Below are 17,342 nucleotides of genomic sequence, written 5' to 3'. Positions count from 1 at the left end.
AGTGGTGTCTGATTATAGATCCTGGTCCCCATTAGTCCCAAAGCTGTGTGCAAGGAGCAGAAATCATTTGTGTCTCCCTTATGGGAAGCCATTCTCCCATCCCCCGTTGGCCACTGTGCACTGCATTCTGATTCTTCACCAGAGGTGGGATAGTTCACTTTAATAAGTTTCTTTCCCCAATAAAAGCCAGGTGGGTCCTAGGAAATCCCACATCTGCCAGTCCAACCTCTTCAGTCTGAAGATAGCTTCCCTCCTTCTGCCAACTTCACTTGTTTCTTTTGTTCCTAAACCATTTTATTCTACCAGTAGCATCCTGCCACCTGGACACGCTGACTCTCCCTTGGAGGAGGCAAAGGCAGAGGCAGAAGAGGGTGAGCAAACAAGGGGAGGAAGAGATTAGAAGGAAGGGAGAGGCATGGCAGCTCATTAAAGAGGAATAAATTTTGCAGAGGGGAAGCGAGAGGTCCCTCCCTCTGTATCTGTAAATCATCTTGTTTTATGGACGGGATGCAAAGTGCAGTGGAGATGGGCTGGCCCTGATAACTAGGGTCATTTCTCCTACTTATGTCTGTCTGAATTTTAGGATGTTCCAACAGAGAACAACTTCAGGCTGGAAACTGCTAGGACTCCTCTCTTTAATTTATTGTCGTCATTATTACTCTAAAATCAGAACCGGACTGACTTAAGGAGGGCACTTTAAGGGTTTCATTAGAAAAACATGACTGGTTTGTTTCTGCTGCCTGTTTTCCCCAGAACACTCTATATCCCAAGCTGCTGTCTGGGCACCATGGATACAAGAACTGGATTTGTGTAAGTTGTTTGAAATCACCTCAGTTTTAGAAAAGTGACATCGGCCGGGCACGGTGGCTCATGCCTGTAATCACAGCACTTTGGGAGGCTGAGGTAGGAGGATCACAAGGTCAGGAGATTGAGACCATCCTAGCTAACAGGGTGAAACACAGTCTCTACTAAAAATACAAAAAATTAGCCAGGTGTGGTGGCACGTGCCTATAATCCCAGCTACTCAGGAGGCTGAGGCAGGAGAATCACTTGAACCTGGGAGGTGGAGGTTGCAGTGAGCCGAGGTCATGCCAGGATGACAGAGTGAGACTCCCTTTCAAAAAAAAAAAAAAAAAAAAAGAGAGAAAGTTACATCTTATTCTATAAAGCTTCTTTCAGACCCAAGGGTCACCATAACCTCAGGATCTCAGACCTTGCATCTCTGTCTTATTAACTGCTCTCTCAACCAGAAAGACATTCCTTAGGGGCAGAGTTCACAAACCAACAGTCCAGAGGCCTGGGTATGGGTGTGTTTTTTACTGATACCTGGCGCTAAAATGGTTTGAGTTAGCTGCCACTTTTGAGATGGTAGATATTTCCTATGAAGTTTTGGATCTCCGGCTTTGATTGAAAAAGTGGGCCCATTGAGGACTCTGAGTCAGGGTTTTCCCTTGGCTATGGACTTTGTGAGTTGCAAAGTGCCTTGGGTTCATCATGGTTTCTCTAACCTTCTAGTTAATTCTTATGTCCAGCCAGCTTCATTCATTTCTGTTTGGTAACTGGTTCCTGAAGCTACCTGAAGCTACATTCCTGTTTGCTACCTGGTCCTGCAGACTGCTGAGTTTGAGACCCCTCTACCTTTGAGGAGATCTTGAATGATCCACTGAGGAACATGAGGCAGGTGATGGAACCCATGGTTGGAAACTGGGGGGAATCCCTGGTTTGTGCAGCTTCTTCTCTTCTGTGTGCTGCAGGGCCTCTCCCTGGGATGTGGCCTTATTTGGCAGGTGTAAGTGCATTGGCCAGTTTGGAGGGAGATCTGCCCCCTACTAGCTGTGTGACCTTGGGCAAATTGCCTTCCCTCTCTGGTCCTCTCTCTTCTCTTGTATAAGGTGAACTGGTTGGAGTACACTGATAGTTTAGTTAAAAAAATTGTAGCCACTTATTTGTGCAACCATTTTCATGTAAGATTTTGTTTACACGAAGGGACGGCAAATTGTAGCCATCCCTTTGTGTAAACAAAATCTTAAGTGAAAATGGAATCTGTGGGACGTCTGAATGGTGCAGCTGAAGGGGGCCGGAGAGTCCTGAGAGGCATGCCTCGGTTTGCTATCCTTCCTGAAAGCCCCTGGGGGAAGCCTCCAGATGACACACTGTTAACCACCAAACTAGATGCTCCCTAAGATAGTATGAGTCTTACCTGATGTGAGCAAAATGGGGGCCCTGTGGCTTGCCAGGTGGTCACTGGTAAATTGCACAAGGCTTACTCCAGTGGTGACTGGGTGGGGAGAAGGGAAGCGCACTTATATAGACTCATGTATAAATAGATACTTGTAATATACGAGCATCTGCTCTGTGGAAGATGTTTTTTTCCAGGCCCAGAAGTGTAAGATCCGGTGCCTATCTTCAGGCGGGTGGCAAACAAACATCACATAAAGGAGAGTGTCTGGCTTGTGTCTTCTGGGTACGTGATCCCCCTGACTTCAGTGTGAGAATGTGGCCAGAGCGTCTGGGGAAGACAGGGAGAGTTGTCAGAGAGGAGTTTTGAGGAGGCCCTGAAGGCTCGCCGGCTGTTAAGGCCTGAGCTGTAGTGGGCAAGAAGAGATGGCCAGTTCAGGTAGAGGAAGCCTGCTTTGAGCTGAAGACCGGAGGTGAATCTGGACAGGGCTTCCCAGGACCAGTAAGTAGCTGGGTGGGACTGGAGCCATGGGGGTCACGGAGGAGATGGGGTTGAAATGGTGGGTGGGGCCAAGAAGGGACAGGGTTTCTACAGCTGGCCTGTGAGTGTGGGAGGCTTGGGAAGCTTGTGAGTTAGGAATTGGCCTGGCCTGGTCCTCTCGGAGCAGGTTAGGGAGGGACAGATGGCGGTGAGGGCTGGCTGGTGGACTGGAGGAGCAGCAATAAGGGCCCAGGCCTCAGCAGTGGCAGAGACAAAGCGGGGATGAAAGCAGGTGCCACTGGGAAGGTAGAATTGACAGCATGGGGTCAGAATGCTTGTGGGGAAAGAGAGGGTGCACCCGAGATGATGTCGGAAGTGTAAACCTGAGCTAGACAAATGGTTATTCTTTCCCTAATTATTTAGCACACACTTCTTGACTGTCTCCCCTGTGCTAAGATCTGGGTGCAGTGAATAAGCTGAGATGGAGGACACAGGAGGGGTTCTGGTGAGTTCCTGGAATCGCCTGAGTCTTTTGCTTGGGAAAACGTCTACTTGACCTCTAGAGATGGGGATTTGAGGTGAGGCGGAGAGGCCAGGGGTGGTGCTTTGTTTATTTAAACAGTGGTGACCGGGTTCCTACTGCACATCACATAATACCAGGTTGTGGGGATAAATGCAGGCATGGAGTCTTGCTGATCAGACATGTGTGAGATAAGCATATGAAGAAATTACAGGACAGTGTCAGCAGTGCTGCAAGACAGGTAGGAGCAAAGGGTGGAGCTGGACCCAGGGTTGGCCAAAATCTTTGTGCCAAGGGACTGGGGGTGTGTATCCACACCCAGCAAAAGATGGAGTCATGGGATGGGTCCATAGTGGGAGAGCTGGGAGACTAAGGAGAGATGGATTCCTGGAGAACACTGCAGTGTTTAGGTGCGTGGAGGCCAGTGGGGATCAGGGGACATGGGAAGCACAGTGGGACTGGGGAAGGAAGCCAGGAGTGTGCAGCATGGCGCAAAAGGGGAGGAGGGAAAGAGTTTTACAAAGAGGATGAGGACTGATCATAATCATGAATATTCATAACAAACTGGTTGACTGCACACTGTGTACCATTCAGTCTTCAAATGCATTCTATGCATTGCTTATTTTAGTTCGGAAGACAGCAATAGTAGGCATTATTTTTTATACCATCTTGCCACACCCAGAGTGGCAAGAAGAGGTGGTCGCTGGCTTCTGAGGTCAATGTTTCTTGCACTTTGGAGACTCATAGTCCAAAGAGTTCCTTTCTGATCTGGGTGGAGGTCATCAGTGCTGGCTGAAGTAGAACCAAAGCAAGCAAGCACCCCTTCTGAGAGTCTTGAATTGAATTGCACCTACCCTTTTCCACCCGGCCTCCCCAGGCCTTCCCACACAAACAGGGAGAGGTAGGGGAGAACGCTGTGTTAAAAATGTACTGTCTGTTTAGTTAGAGGACTTGGACTGTTCAGACAAGCCCTGTTCGCCCTGGCATTTCTCACTGTCGGAAAGGTGACTTGGTCTCTCTGCCTTTGGTCTCAGTGGGAGGAGGCGGGGAGGTGGAGTCCTGCAGGTGTGGTCGCCGGCCAGGGTTTTATATGTTTTGCTGCTGAGGAGAGAAAGCACACACAGTTCAGGGCTAATGACAGGGCACCGCAGGTAGGAACATGACTGAGCCCTACAGCTTGCACATGTGTGGTTGGGCAAAAGACAATTGCAGATGTTCCTGGAATTCCCAAACCGGATACAAAATCGCTAGCAGGATGCAGAGAAAGAGGAATGAGCCAAGTGTTTTACATAATGAGAAGCTTGCCTCCCGCCTGGTCTCTCTCTCTCTCTCTCTCTCTCCCTCCCTCTCTCTCCCTCTCCCTCTCCCTCTCTCTCTCTCCCTCTCTCCCTCCCTCTCAGTGCCGTGGCGGGTCGGGCCTCCTTTTCCTGAAATCCCAAGGATTAGGAAACCAGTGTGCGTGTCTGGAGGGCGGAGGGCGGCTCCAGCAGACGGCCTTGTCTTGCTTTGGTCGGTTTATATCCAGGATCCGTGCCTTTCCACCGGGTGTGGTGGGCCCAGAGGCAGCCAAGGAGTGTGCTCTTCTGTCCAGATGAGCCTTGGTGCCCAGAATGGAAAAGAAATCAGGCATCGGGCCTAAGAGGAACTGAAAGCAGCCACCCAACTCTTTCCCAGGGCCCTCATTTTGAATAGAATTCTCTCTGGGTGGCAGCAGACTCAGCTCTGGGACATTTTGCCTCCAGCCTGGACCTTGGAGGCTGACAGTGGGGAGGGCTGGGCCTAGAGGAAGAGCAGAAATGGGGAATATTTGGAAGCGGAGGCTGCTGGACGCAGAGACCTCCTGTTGGGGGTAGTACGTGGAGACAGAACCCTGCTTCTGGGCATCCTGGGGTAGTACTCACAGGGGCAGGGGGCCCAGGCATCTGCCAGAGCCAAAAATAATGAGCCAAGGCTCACATCCCTGCAGTTGGCTTCTCAATCACCGTTCAGTACCTTCTATGACCCCCAGTACAAGGTGGCCCTTAACCATTTGTCAAATGCATCCACTCTCCTCCCTCTCCCCAGTTCTAAAGGGTTCTTGGAGTCCATCTGAGCTGTGTTTCACTTGAGCGAAATGTTTAGGAGTTGGGCAGGAAGACTACTCCTTCATGGTAGCCTTGATGGAAGGTTTTTCTGAACAAGTGATATAAATCCCATGGGGTGGCTCCCCAGACACCTCCTTCTCATCACCTCCTTAACATACAGGAATCTGTGTTTTTAAGGATGCTGAACCCGTGCATCCCGTATCTCTGTCTGGAATTGCACTTCAGGTTCCAATCCTTGCTGCAGTGAACCTGGTGAGTTAATTTTCTTCTCATCAGTTTCAGTGACTACCTCCACAAAACACAGAGAAAATATTTACCTGTCTCATATGTTAATATGAGGATGAAAAGCCGTTTTTCCATGTCAAGTTCTTTCATGGAACAAGTGCTCAATACATGGGAGCTATTATCACGATTATCATATTCTTTTCAAAAGAAAGAGCTCTCTCAGGGTTTCCATTTAAATATTTGATTCTAGACCAGGAGTTGGCTAACTACAGTCTGTGGGCCAAGACCGGCCTGCCACCTGTTTTTGTACAGCTCGTGAGCTAAGAATCCTTTCCACATTAAAAGTTAAAATCAAAAAAAGGAATATTTTGTGACATGTGAAAATTATATGAAATGTAAATTTCCAAGTCTATGAATAAAGTTTTATTGAGACTCAGCTATACCTGTTCATTTGCTTATTGTCTATGGGTGCTTCATGCTACAATGGCAGAGTTGAGTAGCTCCGATGGAGATGTCATGGCCCACAAAGTTGAAAATGTTTACTCTGTGGTCCTTTACAGAAAAAGCTTGCCAGTCCCTATTCTAGATGACTGATTATTAAACAGGGAGTGTAGGAGTAGGTACCTAGTACAAAAATTGCTGGGCTTAATGCTGATTGGAATAGAGTTCACTAACAGTTGGAAAAGAAGAAAATGCAAGTATCTTTGGTATTTTAAAATAACAGAAGTAAAAAGGAAACAGGGACTGAGTTTTTGAGAATCCTGTACTGTTGATGATGTCACTTTTTCAGAAGTAATCTCTAAGTTTCAGTACACAGGCTGTAGGTATTTGCAGAGGGTGTGTGTTCTAAGATTCCCTTAAGCAGGGAACTCCCTAGGCTGTTGAATGGGTCAGGGTGGGGGTTGACAGTGGGGAGTGGAAGGGGGAGGCTTGACTCATGTCCACCCTCCTCATCCCTCTGCCTTTCCACAAGTGGGAGCTGCCTGTAGAAACAGAGCATTGCTTAAGAAGCTCAAGTTTTATTTCACCTGTTGGGTGTATTTGTCTGTTTATACTCTGCCTCATTCCACTTTCTTCTAGAAAGGATTTAAGGCAGCCAGGACCCTTCAGTGTCAAAAATCCCAGATCCTAGAAGAAGCAATGCCTAGGGGCTGTGTTTGAGGGGAGTACGCAGAGTGAGGTGTCACTGATGATTTCAAAGAGGTGACCCTGGAGCTGAACTGTTTTTCAACGAAGGGAACATTCTTTTCTTGCCTTTATCTCTCTGTCCCCTGTCACCCCGATCTCTGCTCCCACTCCCAACTCCTCAAAGGGCAAATTGTGTTGCCTTGGGTCTCATGGAGGAGAGAAGGCAGGGACAGAGAAGAGTCTGCCCGAAGCAAATGCCAATCCTTGCAGAGTGCCGAGCGAGCTGGGAGCAGCGGTGAGCTGGGTTGAGGGGCAGCCATAGGAACAAGCGCAGGGAGAAGGCTGAGTAATGGACGGGAGGCACAGTGGGTGACAGGGCTGAGAGCACAATTTATGAGTCACCCCGAGCAGCTGCTCTTTGCCCCAGGGGAGCAACTCACACATTCCCAAGGGAGCCAGTGCCTGGGAGACGTGACGTCGTTGTCACTGGGAGAGGAGTTTCAACCATGTGTGGCTTCGGAGGAGCTTGTTCCCATGGGTAACACCCAAGATTCTCAGGATGCAAAATCCCAGCCAAAAGGAGATGGGGCTCTAAGACTTCTTGTGCATGCTTGTATGTATGTATGTATGTGTGTGCAGGTGTGCATATGTGTGTGTGTGCATGTGTGTGAAAGAATGTGTCTCCTCCATGCTGAGACCTCATTATTAACTGCTGATCTGTGCATCCAGGGTGGTAAGAACTTTCATCGTTCATGGAGGAGGTGGTGGCTCTGTGACTAATAGCCCGCCAGTCCGTAGCCATCCCAACATTTTTCTCAAGGATGCTCCCTCCACAAAATCCTGCTCCAAACCCATGATTTGCATGAAACATTCCCTGTTCAACCACGACGGCTCCTCATCTGGCATGTACATTTGGATCATGGTTAGAGGGGGCTGGCCACCTCTGATTGAATTCAGAAAGCCAGCCCGGTGCCGCCCACTGACTCTCTCCCAGGCATCAGCCTTAAAGTTCTGGCAGCTATTCCCAGCTAAATGGGTGCATCAGGCCTTCTTACTGCATAGATAGTTAATAGGGGAAGGAAGAGAGCTCACTCACAGCCTCTCACTGCTGCAGTTTGTTTTATAAACCTGATAGGCACACAGCAAACCCAATGACCAGATACAATGGAAGCAGCCTTTCCTTTTGCACTGTCACCAGCCGTGGCTTTATAAAACCGTTGTTTTTCCTTACCTGGGAAGCCCTTGGGCTGTCCCTTACTTCCTTGATAAGCCAGGCAAGGACATGACAACCTTTAAAATATTGTATCTCTGTGGATAACTGAGCCCAAGAAGAGGAAGGATCTAGTGTATGCCTCCTTAACAATGAAATGAAAAACACAGGGAGCCAAAACCAAGTTTAAATGAGGGTCAGTGGATAACGCATGAACTGGGAACACAATTTGGTTGGGGAAGCTTGTCTATCCGTGGTGTTTTCTGGATAGCTGTTTTCCAGCACACACAAGTATACAACACTTATTTAAAACAGGCCAAGTGCGGTGGCTTACACCTATAACCCCAGCGCTTCGGGAGGCCGAGGCGGGAGGATCACTTGAGCCCAGAAGTTCAAGACCAGCCTGGGCAATGTAGTGAGACCTCATCTCTACAACAAATTTGAAAATTAGCTGGATGTGGTGGCACACACCTGTGGTCCCAGGCACTTGGGAGGCTGAGGCAGGAGGATTGCTTGAGCCCTGAAGGTCAAGGCTGCAGTGAGCCATGACTGTGCCACTGCACTCCAGCCTGGGAAACAGAGGAAAACCCTGTCTCAAAGAAATAATAAAAGAAAAGAAATAAAACAGACTTCCCCAAGAATAGTAAACCACAGTTACAAGTTCATATTTGTAAGTTTATTGTTTTATTGAATCTATTTTTTGGGGTGGATACTTGTTGATAGTCCCTGTGGGTACCTGGGATGTTCCTCCTAGCATAGACGGCAAAAATTTCCAGTGAATTCCTCATTTCCTCCTGTTTCTTTGTGAATGCCCGTAGCTTTAAGGGCCTCTCACCTCCTCAGAGGCAGAGGAGGTTTGTGGACTGGGTGCTAAGCTAATACCCAGGAACTGAATTTTGTTTTGTTTGCTCCACCCACTCTTGGGTAGAGGTGCCGATAGGATGGCCACACTGTGGCCACAGCAAACAGAAATGACCAGCACTACCCAGATAGGAAGCACACGTGCCCAGCTGATCCTTCGGTCCTGGGGAGCTACCTGAATCTCATGGGAAACCCACTTTCCTTTTTCCCCACCACAGACTTGGCTTTCTGCTTCCTTTCTGCTCTGCTCTTTCTGAAAATGCAAATGTGTGTTGGGCAGATCTCCTATGCAGGGAGATTGGCAGAGCCCCTAGGGACACTTGACTGACCAAGGCTTCTTCGTGGAGAGCTGTTTTCTGGTTTATTCTGTCTTGTGATCGATAGGAAACACTGGCCAGGCTTCTTATTTTCCAAGGCTGCTGCTTTCTGACAGGCTTTAAGGGATTAAGGGTTGAATACAGGTGGGTTTCTTCCCCCTCCTGACTCTGTCACCTGGACATTGCCATGGCAATAATCCTCCCTGAAACAAAAATAAAGGGCAGAACCGGTTGGACAGAAAGTGTAGCCGAAAAGTCTTCCAGGGACACTGAGAGTTGAGGGACTTTGAGGCCGCATGGGGCTCCATAGAGCAGCAATCCCCAACCTTTTTGGCACCAGGGACTGGTTTTCTGGAAGATAATTTTTCCGTGGATGTGGTGGGGTGGGGTGGGGTGGGGGTAGTTTCTGGATGATTCAAGCACATTACACTTATTGTGTACTTTATTTCTATTATTATTACATTGTAATATGAAATAATTATACAATTCACCATAACATAGAATCTGTGGGAGCCCTGAGCTTGTTTTCCTACAACTAGACAGTCCCATCTGGGGGCGATGGGAGACAGTGACAGATCATCAGGCATTAGATTCTCATAAGGAATGCACAACCTACATTCCTCACATGTGCAGTTCACAATAGGGTTCTCGCTCCTATAAGAATTTGATGCCATCACTGATCTTACAGGAGGTGGAGCTCAGGTGGTAATGTGAGCAATGGGGAGCGGCTGTCAATACAAATGACACTTTGCTCACTCACCCACCACTCACCTCCTGCTGTGCAGCCTGGTTCTTAACAGGCCATGGAGCAGTAATGCGTCCATGGCCTGGGGGTTAGGAACCCCTGCTATAGATCATGTCCACAAGAGCAAGGAGGTAAAAAAAAAAATGAGTGGCCTTGGTGTTAGGGAACACTATACATCAAAGTGCCATCAACTTGTGCTTTAGAGAAAAGCTGCAGTTTGGTTCCTTCACAGATGAGGTGGAATGATTTTCTTTCTGCAGCCAGCAATCCTGTCTGGTCTCCCTCCACCCATGGAGGGTTCAGAGCAGTAGCTCCATAATCTGTCACTGGAGTTTAGCTGGTTTGTGATTCACGAGGAGGAGAGGGAGGCTGGGGATTATAATCTGTTCTGCAAAATCTTGTGGGCTGTGCAATGGTTGAGGTTTTTGGCTGCTTGAAAAGCCCTGAGGTTTTTTAGGAAGGCAGATTTTACTATGTCAGCACTGAAAGATTGGTTTTGGAATTTAGGGAGGAAAAACCCACAATAGCTAGAAGAAGAGAGGTGAATATTATTCTCTGCTAAAAAGAAAAAATTCTTTTATCAGTCTCCTGGAGAGAAGTGGGACTGGCTTTTGGTGGTTACAGGGTGGGCTGTCAGGAGTCACTTTTCTTCACTTCTCTCTCTCTCTCTTTTTTTTTTTTCTCTCTTTTAAAGTCCTCTGTGGAATGTTTGGAAAAGATTGGCAGATTCTAAAAGAAAATGCTGTTGGCTCCTGGAATTGTCTCAGTGGCAGCACAGAGTGATGACCCTCTGGGACTTGGTACCAACAGGCATCTCACTGCCCTGTTTCACTGGAGAGAGAAGGACAGAAAGGGAAAGAGAGAGGAAGGGAAGGGGTGAAGAGGGGAAGGGAGGGAAGGGAAGAAGGGAAGGGAGAGGAAGGAAGGAAGGAAAGATAGATTGAGATCTGCATGGGGTAGTTTTGCATGCAGCCTCCCTTGGGGCAGGGAGGTGGTTTGGCAACCTGGCTGACCTTTCCAGGACTTCTCTAGCCCTGAAAGACGAGGCACACACATTGTTGGGTGACGTGTACAGATGAACGTGGCAGCTGCTCGTCCATTCACCCAACAGATATTCACTGAGTGCCTACTAAGTGCTGGGCGCTAGTGACCAACAAAACAGAAAAAAACCTTTGCTCTCCCTCACTAGAGTGAAGACAGACTCTAAGCTGATAGACAAATTGATCTGGAAGTGATAAATGCTGTGGAATAAAAGAGAGGGGTGAGGGATAAAGAGTGATGGAGGGCACAGTTAAGAGTGTGGCCGGGGATGGGCGCGGTGGCTCACGCCTGTAATCCCAGCACTTTGGGAGGCCGAAGCAGATAGATCATCTGAGGTCAGGAGTTCGAGACCAGCCTGACTGACATGAAGAAACCCCGTCTCTACTAAAAATGCAAAATTAGCCAGGCGTGGTGGCGCATGCCTGTAATCCCAGCTACTCGGGAGGCTGAGGCAGGAGAATCTCTTGAACCTGGGAGGCAGAGGTTGTGGTGAGCCAAGATCGCACAACTGCAGTCCAGCCTGGGCAACAAGAGCCAAACTCTGTCTCAAGAAAAAAAAAAAAAAAAAAAAGAGTGTGGCCAGGCTGGGCACGGTGAATCACGCCTGTAATCTTAGCACTTTGGGAGGCAAGGAGGGTAGATCGCTTGAGCTCAGGAATTTGAGACTAGCTTGGGAAACATGGTGAAACCCTTTCTTTGCAAAAAATACAAAAATTAGCCAGGCACGGTGGTGCATGCCTGTAGTCTCGGCTACTTGGGAGGCTGAGGTGGGAGGATCATCTGAGCCCGGGGAGGTTGAAGCTGCAGTGAGCTATGATTGCACCACTGCACTCCAGCCTGGGTAACAGAGTGAGACCCTGCCTCAAAAAAAAAAGAAAAAGAAAGAGTGTGGCCAAGAAAGGTTTTCTCAGGAGATAACATTTGAACAGAGACTGGGCAGATACTTGGGAGAAGAATGTTCTAGACCAGTGGTCAGCAGACTGTGGCCCTTGAGCCAAATCCAGTTGGCCACTTGCTTTTGTAAATAGAGTGTGATTGGAGCCCAGCCACACCCATTCATTTCCCTGTCATCCATGGCTATCTTCTCACTATTGTGGCAGAGCTGAGGAATTTTGACTGGGGCCTCCTGACCCATAAAGCCTAAATAGTATCTGGCCCTGGACAGAGAAAGTTTGCTAGCTTCTGATCCAGACAGACCTGTCCATTCCCCCAGTGATGGACACCTACATTGTCCCAAACTCTTTGGCGCCACGAGAGACAACTCTTCAACAAACATCCTCCCCAGGTCACGGGGTTTACCTGTGTGGGATTCCAGGAGTGGAGCTTCTTTGTAGATTTAGGGTGAGCAGGAGAGCGGAAAACTGCCGACAGGCGATTTTAATCAGATTATAAAACCTGCCTCGTCCCATCCCACTGTACAGCACTCTTTTCATACAGGGGCTGTTGATTCTCTCGGGGACAAACATGGCTCATCTTGGCTTTGTTTAGGGCCTGTTATACCCCTGATTCCTTCATTCTCAGGGGTTTCCTGTGTCATCAAACATGGAGAATGAATGAATCAGGCGTCTGGGACCAGGGACCACATTTACACAGGCACTGAGAAAACCAGAAAGGCCTGGGAAATGTCAGGGATGGGGAGGGGAAGTGGTGCTGTTCTGAACTGCGGTGTTGTAACCTCTCCGTAGTATAGATTTTTAGAATTTTTGTTTATTTTTCATCTTCCTTCAAGGTCCTCCAGTCTAGCCCCGAAGCTTCCTAAGAGCAAGATCCATCTTTTATTCCTCCCTCTATTCCCAGGGCCCAGCAAAGCACTGACCCGTAATAGGGACGTCGCAGGTTCTTTTTGAATAAAGAAATGCCACCTCCTGTCAAGCTCTTCTAAGTGAAGTAGAAATTTGTTCATTTAAAAACAATCATTTACGTTCTAAAGCTGAGCAGAAATGAGTTCAGGTGTTGTTGTTTGTGTGTATGTGTGTGTATCTGTTTTTGGAGGGGGGTGTGTCACACTGAATAGACAGTTGAGAGCCTCCCGGACGTGCTTATGGCATAGACCTGACCAGCGTTTCTGTCTGGGCTGCAGAGGACATGAACAAGGGCCTGGAATTCTGTGTTCTTGCCTGGTGGTCTTGGATCCTCTGTGCAGATCTGTGTCTTTCTCACCATTCCAGGCCCAGCTACACGTCTCGGCTCTTCCACAAAGCAGCTTCAACTCTCAGATTTTTCTCTGGACTTTATAGCATTTAGTAACTGTGCCATTCATCAGCAATCAATCACGCATCGCCCTGTGCCATCTCTCTAAGCTTGTGTGAGAACACTGGGTTCTTGGTTAGACCGTGGCTCCCATGCCTGGCTGGTCCCTGCATGGCTAACTCTGGGATTTTATGTGGCAGGTTCAGTGAATATTAATTGATTGATTGATTGATGGCCCAGACCATTGATAGGATCGCAATGATAAGTTGCCTTGTTAATATCTGTCCGTAGCTTACCTGGGCTTGGCTTTCCAAACTACAAAGTAAGGATCTCCAGGCAACGTTAGCTTTGCTTATAGGGAAGCAGCATGTAGAGGGGGTAGCCGTATAGGCTTTGGAACGAGCAAATCTGGTTAAAGCCTCAGTCCACGGTCTTGTCATTTACGGTATGTGTGACCTCCAGGTTTCTCATCTGAACACTGGGAATAATAAAAGTTGATTCCTAGAGTGTCTTTGGAAGTGCACAGAGAGCCTCTACTCCCACTCCAGAGAGGGGACCCTCAGAGACAGGGCTGGAGGACAGTGAGCATGTTTTGCTGAAGGCCCCAGAAGCCTCTTTTGTGGTTGTGATTTCATTTAGAAGCCTGGTGCTGGTCCCTGAGACAGAGAAGTACTTTGAGCCATGCTGATACCAAATCTTCAAAACTAGACTTTATTTTCTCTGGCGTCTATTTAATGGACAGTCTTAACTTTGCATGAACCAGGAAGTTTGGCAATTTAACTTCCTTGTAATCTCGGGAGAAGGAGGTGTGGAATGAAAATGCCAGAGGGGACCGGGCGCGGTGGCTCACGCCTGTAATCCCAGCACTTTGGGAGGCTGAGGCGGGTGGCTCATGAGGTCAGGAGTTCGAGACCAGCCTGACCAACAGGGTGAAACCCCGTCTCTACTAAAAATACAAAAATTAGCCAGGCATGATGATGACGTGTGCCTGTAATCCCATCTACTCAGAAGGCTGAGGCAAGAGAATCACTTGAACCGGGGAAGGGGAGGTTGCAGTGAGCTGAGATCGCACCACTGCACTCCAGTCTGGGCAACACAGCAAGACTCCGTCTCAAAGAAAATGCCAGATAGGAGAGGCAGAAGAAAGGAAAACATCCCGTGGAAAGCCGGACGATAGGCATGCCAAGGAGCCTCTGATAGCAGCTGCTCGTAGGCATCCGCCCGTTGGGTGCTGGGGGCTTAGCAGGTGATGGAGCAGGCTGTCCCCCTGCCTGCTGGGTGGCTGCCAATGCAGATTTTAATTATTTCATTTGTGTAGTTTTGCTCTTGCTGAGTTTTAAACGTCAAAAGCAGCATATGTGTAAGCCTTTGCCTCCTATTTTGAGTATTAGGGCAGTGACATTTTCTTTAGCCTGGGGATTGCCATGCACAGTGTGGTGTTGGAGAACATTAATACTGGAGGAAGCCTTGAGTTCTACGCCATGTTCTGTTACAGGCTGCATCTGTCCCGGCACACATCATAGAGCCTTTCTTCCCGGGCCTCAGTTTCTCCTTTGATAAGGTGGAAGAAAGGACTAGATCTTTCTTGTAAGGCCCTTCTGGGACTTAACAACATTCCTGAATGGGCCCACCCTTGTTTCCCATTGATCCCCCGTGAGCCTCCTTTCTCTGGCCTCTAGGCAGTTGCTCCAGCCATGACAAGCAGGTGTCCACTGAGACCTCAAGATCTGATAAGCAGGGTTTGACACCAGGGAAGGGGCCTGGAATGAAAATTGTTTCCAAACACCCTTGTTTATGACTTCCAGAAATGGTTAAAGCTCTTCTAATCAGCCAGCACAGATAGGACCCCTGCCGTGAATGGAGCCACTGGGATGATGGTATTTGGCTACGAGGGCTCCAGAGCACAGGCCTGCCCTGGAGGCATTAGATCGTGACTCAGGAGCTGGAGCAGACATGGGCGAGAAGGACTGCTTCTCTGTTATAGGTTTTCCTAAACTGGAGCCATTTTAGTACAACCTTACTATTTAACACATTTAAGTTTTGTTTTTTTGTTTTTTAGTGAATTGATCTAAAAGCAGTAGTTCCTAACAGAGGAGGTGTTGGGGGTTGGGGTTTATCCCCCAGACAGCACTGGGCAATGTCTAGGGACATTTTTGGTTGTCCCAGTTGGGTGGTGGAGGGATGCTCTGGCATCTGGTGAGAAGAGGAGGCCAAAGATGCTTAGCATCCTGCAAGGCACAGGACAGGGTGATCAGCATCCTATAAGGCACAAGACAGCCTCCACCACAAAGAATGATCTGGCCCCAAATGCTAATAGGGCTGAGGTTGAGAAACTCCAATTTAAAGAATCATGATTTTGGCCAATCACGATGGCTCCCACCTGTAATCCCAGCACTTTGGGAGGCCGAGGTGGGTGGATCACCTGAGGTCGGGAGTTGGAGACTATCCTGGCCAACATGGTGAAAACCCATCTCTGCTAAAAATACAAAAATTAGCTGGGTGTGGTGGCAGGAGCCTGTAATCCCAGCTACTCAGGAGGCTGAGGGGAGAGAATCGCTTGAACGTGGAAAAAGAAAAAAAAAAAAAAAGAAATGTAACTTTAAAGTGAAATGTAGTGAATCAGTATCACTTCTCATAGATTCAAAGTAATTATACAAATAATGAGCACAATGAAATCAAAACAATGTTTATAAATTCTAGGTAGCTACAGTTGTCTGCCGAACCTTTGAGTTTGAGGGAGGTTATTGCTCTGTCTATAATGAAGGGAAATTGGCCAGGGAGAGATGGTACAGACCTAGCAGCACCAAATGGAGACTTTCTCCTGAAATGGAATCAGTAGGATTAAAAGAGAATTGAGAGGCAGGTGGATCACCTGAGGTCAGGAGTTCAAGAACAGCCTGGTCAACATGGTGAAACCCCGTCTTTATTAAAAATACTAAAATTAGCTGGGTGTAGTGGCACATGCCTATAATCCCAGCTACTCAGGAGGCTGAGGCAGGAGAATTGCTTGAACCGGGGAAGCAGAGGTTGCAGTGAGCCGAGATCGTGCCACTGCACTCCAGCCTGGGCAAACAGAGCGAGACTCCATCTCAAAAAAAAAAAAAAAAAGAGAATGGAAGAGGGAGTCGCTTTCTCCTTCGGTGATTACACACTGTTCTGTGCTGTCTGCCCACCCTCTAAAACCAACCCATGCACCCCCCCATGATGTTCCCCATCCCAAACTTTGGGAAGCACCGTCTTAGTGCCAGGGGCACAAGTATGAGCTGCCACGAAGTCAGTGCCTCCCTGCCCCTCTGGCTCTGTATGAGAGCTAATATTAGACCTAGATGGGAATCTTTTTTCTCTTTTTTCACAGGTAGTTATAATAATAATAGCCCCCTTTAGGCACAGGCTTTTTAATCTTCAAAGCGCTTTATAAACATGAGCTAATCTTCCTGCTCCCCAGTGAGGTCAGAAGTCCTGTCTTTTACTGGATGGTGCCACCAAGGCAAGAGAGATGAGTGAGTCACTGGCAGTCCTGGCTGGGAGTTAGGCGAGGTTAGGGTTGGGATTCAAGTTTACAGTTGCTGGACTCCTGGACATGTCCTTCACCGGGCCACACCTTTCTCTTGGCCAGCCCTGTCTTGGTATTTGTGCCAAACCTCAAATTCAGGCGGGTCTGGAGAGAGCAAGGGTGACATTTCTTTTCCCCTCCCCTCCTTGGGCTGCTCTTACAGAAGCTCCTAATGCTTTCCTTTTCTTTTTTTAAAAAATTTCCCCTACGGCAGGTAAACCCCCGCAAATCAGGGAGTTACTTTAAGAAAATATTCTCCTTGTGGACCCTGGGTCCCAGGATGGCGGTGGGAGCAAAGCTGAAGCAGTGTTTCTTTTCATGGGCTCTGTTTGAAGATGTCTGTGGCTGGCAGAGCCAGAGCTGTAAGGACCAAGGGTGTCTGGCGGTGAGCCGTGACCGCTTCGACAGGGACCACCAGGGTGCACGCAGCCTCTGGGTGCCTGTGGGCGCTGGGGCATTTCCTTTGAGCCCATCACACTTCTGAACTTGGCCAGGAGGGGAGCCAAGGGGAGGTGTTGGGAGAACCCATGCAGTGGGCTTGGGAGGCAGATGCTGCAAGGATGACAGCAGCCATTTCATACCATTTCCCAAGAGTTAAAAAAATAATAAAGTAAAATCCTCAGGATTCAAGCGACATTTAAATCGGTTCCTGGAACACCACGGGTCTCTGAGTCTTGTGGTTTCAGGGGAGCTGACCCCATTGGAAGTCTGTGGGGTCCTTCGGCACTGGGCTTTCACATGCTGTCTACTGCAGGATTTAATAAATCAAGGCAGAAAATGTCCTTAAAGCCGGAGCTTGAAAGATGGGC

The 17,342-nt window shown here is 48.4% G+C and overlaps 1 long non-coding RNA gene across 5 annotated transcripts in view, besides 2 other annotated features; it reads left to right on the top strand.

The window, feature by feature from the left end:
• LINC00673 (long intergenic non-protein coding RNA 673) overlaps positions 1–17,342 on the top strand; it is a 189,483-nt gene that overhangs the window by 120,066 nt on the left and 52,075 nt on the right. The window lies entirely within an intron of this gene.
• Positions 3,967–4,644: an enhancer, noted in NCBI's record as "H3K27ac-H3K4me1 hESC enhancer chr17:70464235-70464912 (GRCh37/hg19 assembly coordinates)". NCBI's record gives its function as "activates a minimal SCP1, AML or CMV promoter by ChIP-STARR-seq in primed H9 embryonic stem cells {active_cell/tissue: H9 hESC(primed)}" and the evidence as "EXISTENCE:reporter gene assay evidence [ECO:0000049][PMID:30033119]".
• Positions 7,031–7,240: an enhancer, noted in NCBI's record as "active region_12678". NCBI's record gives its function as "activates an Ori minimal core promoter by ATAC-STARR-seq in GM12878 lymphoblastoid cells {active_cell/tissue: GM12878}" and the evidence as "EXISTENCE:reporter gene assay evidence [ECO:0000049][PMID:35858748]".

This window comes from Homo sapiens, chromosome 17, assembly GCF_000001405.40.
Source record: "Homo sapiens chromosome 17, GRCh38.p14 Primary Assembly".
NCBI classification, from domain to species: Eukaryota; Metazoa; Chordata; class Mammalia; order Primates; family Hominidae; genus Homo; species Homo sapiens.
The sequence above is the reverse complement of the archived record's forward strand: the minus strand, read 5'-3'. Positions and strand labels throughout refer to the sequence as shown.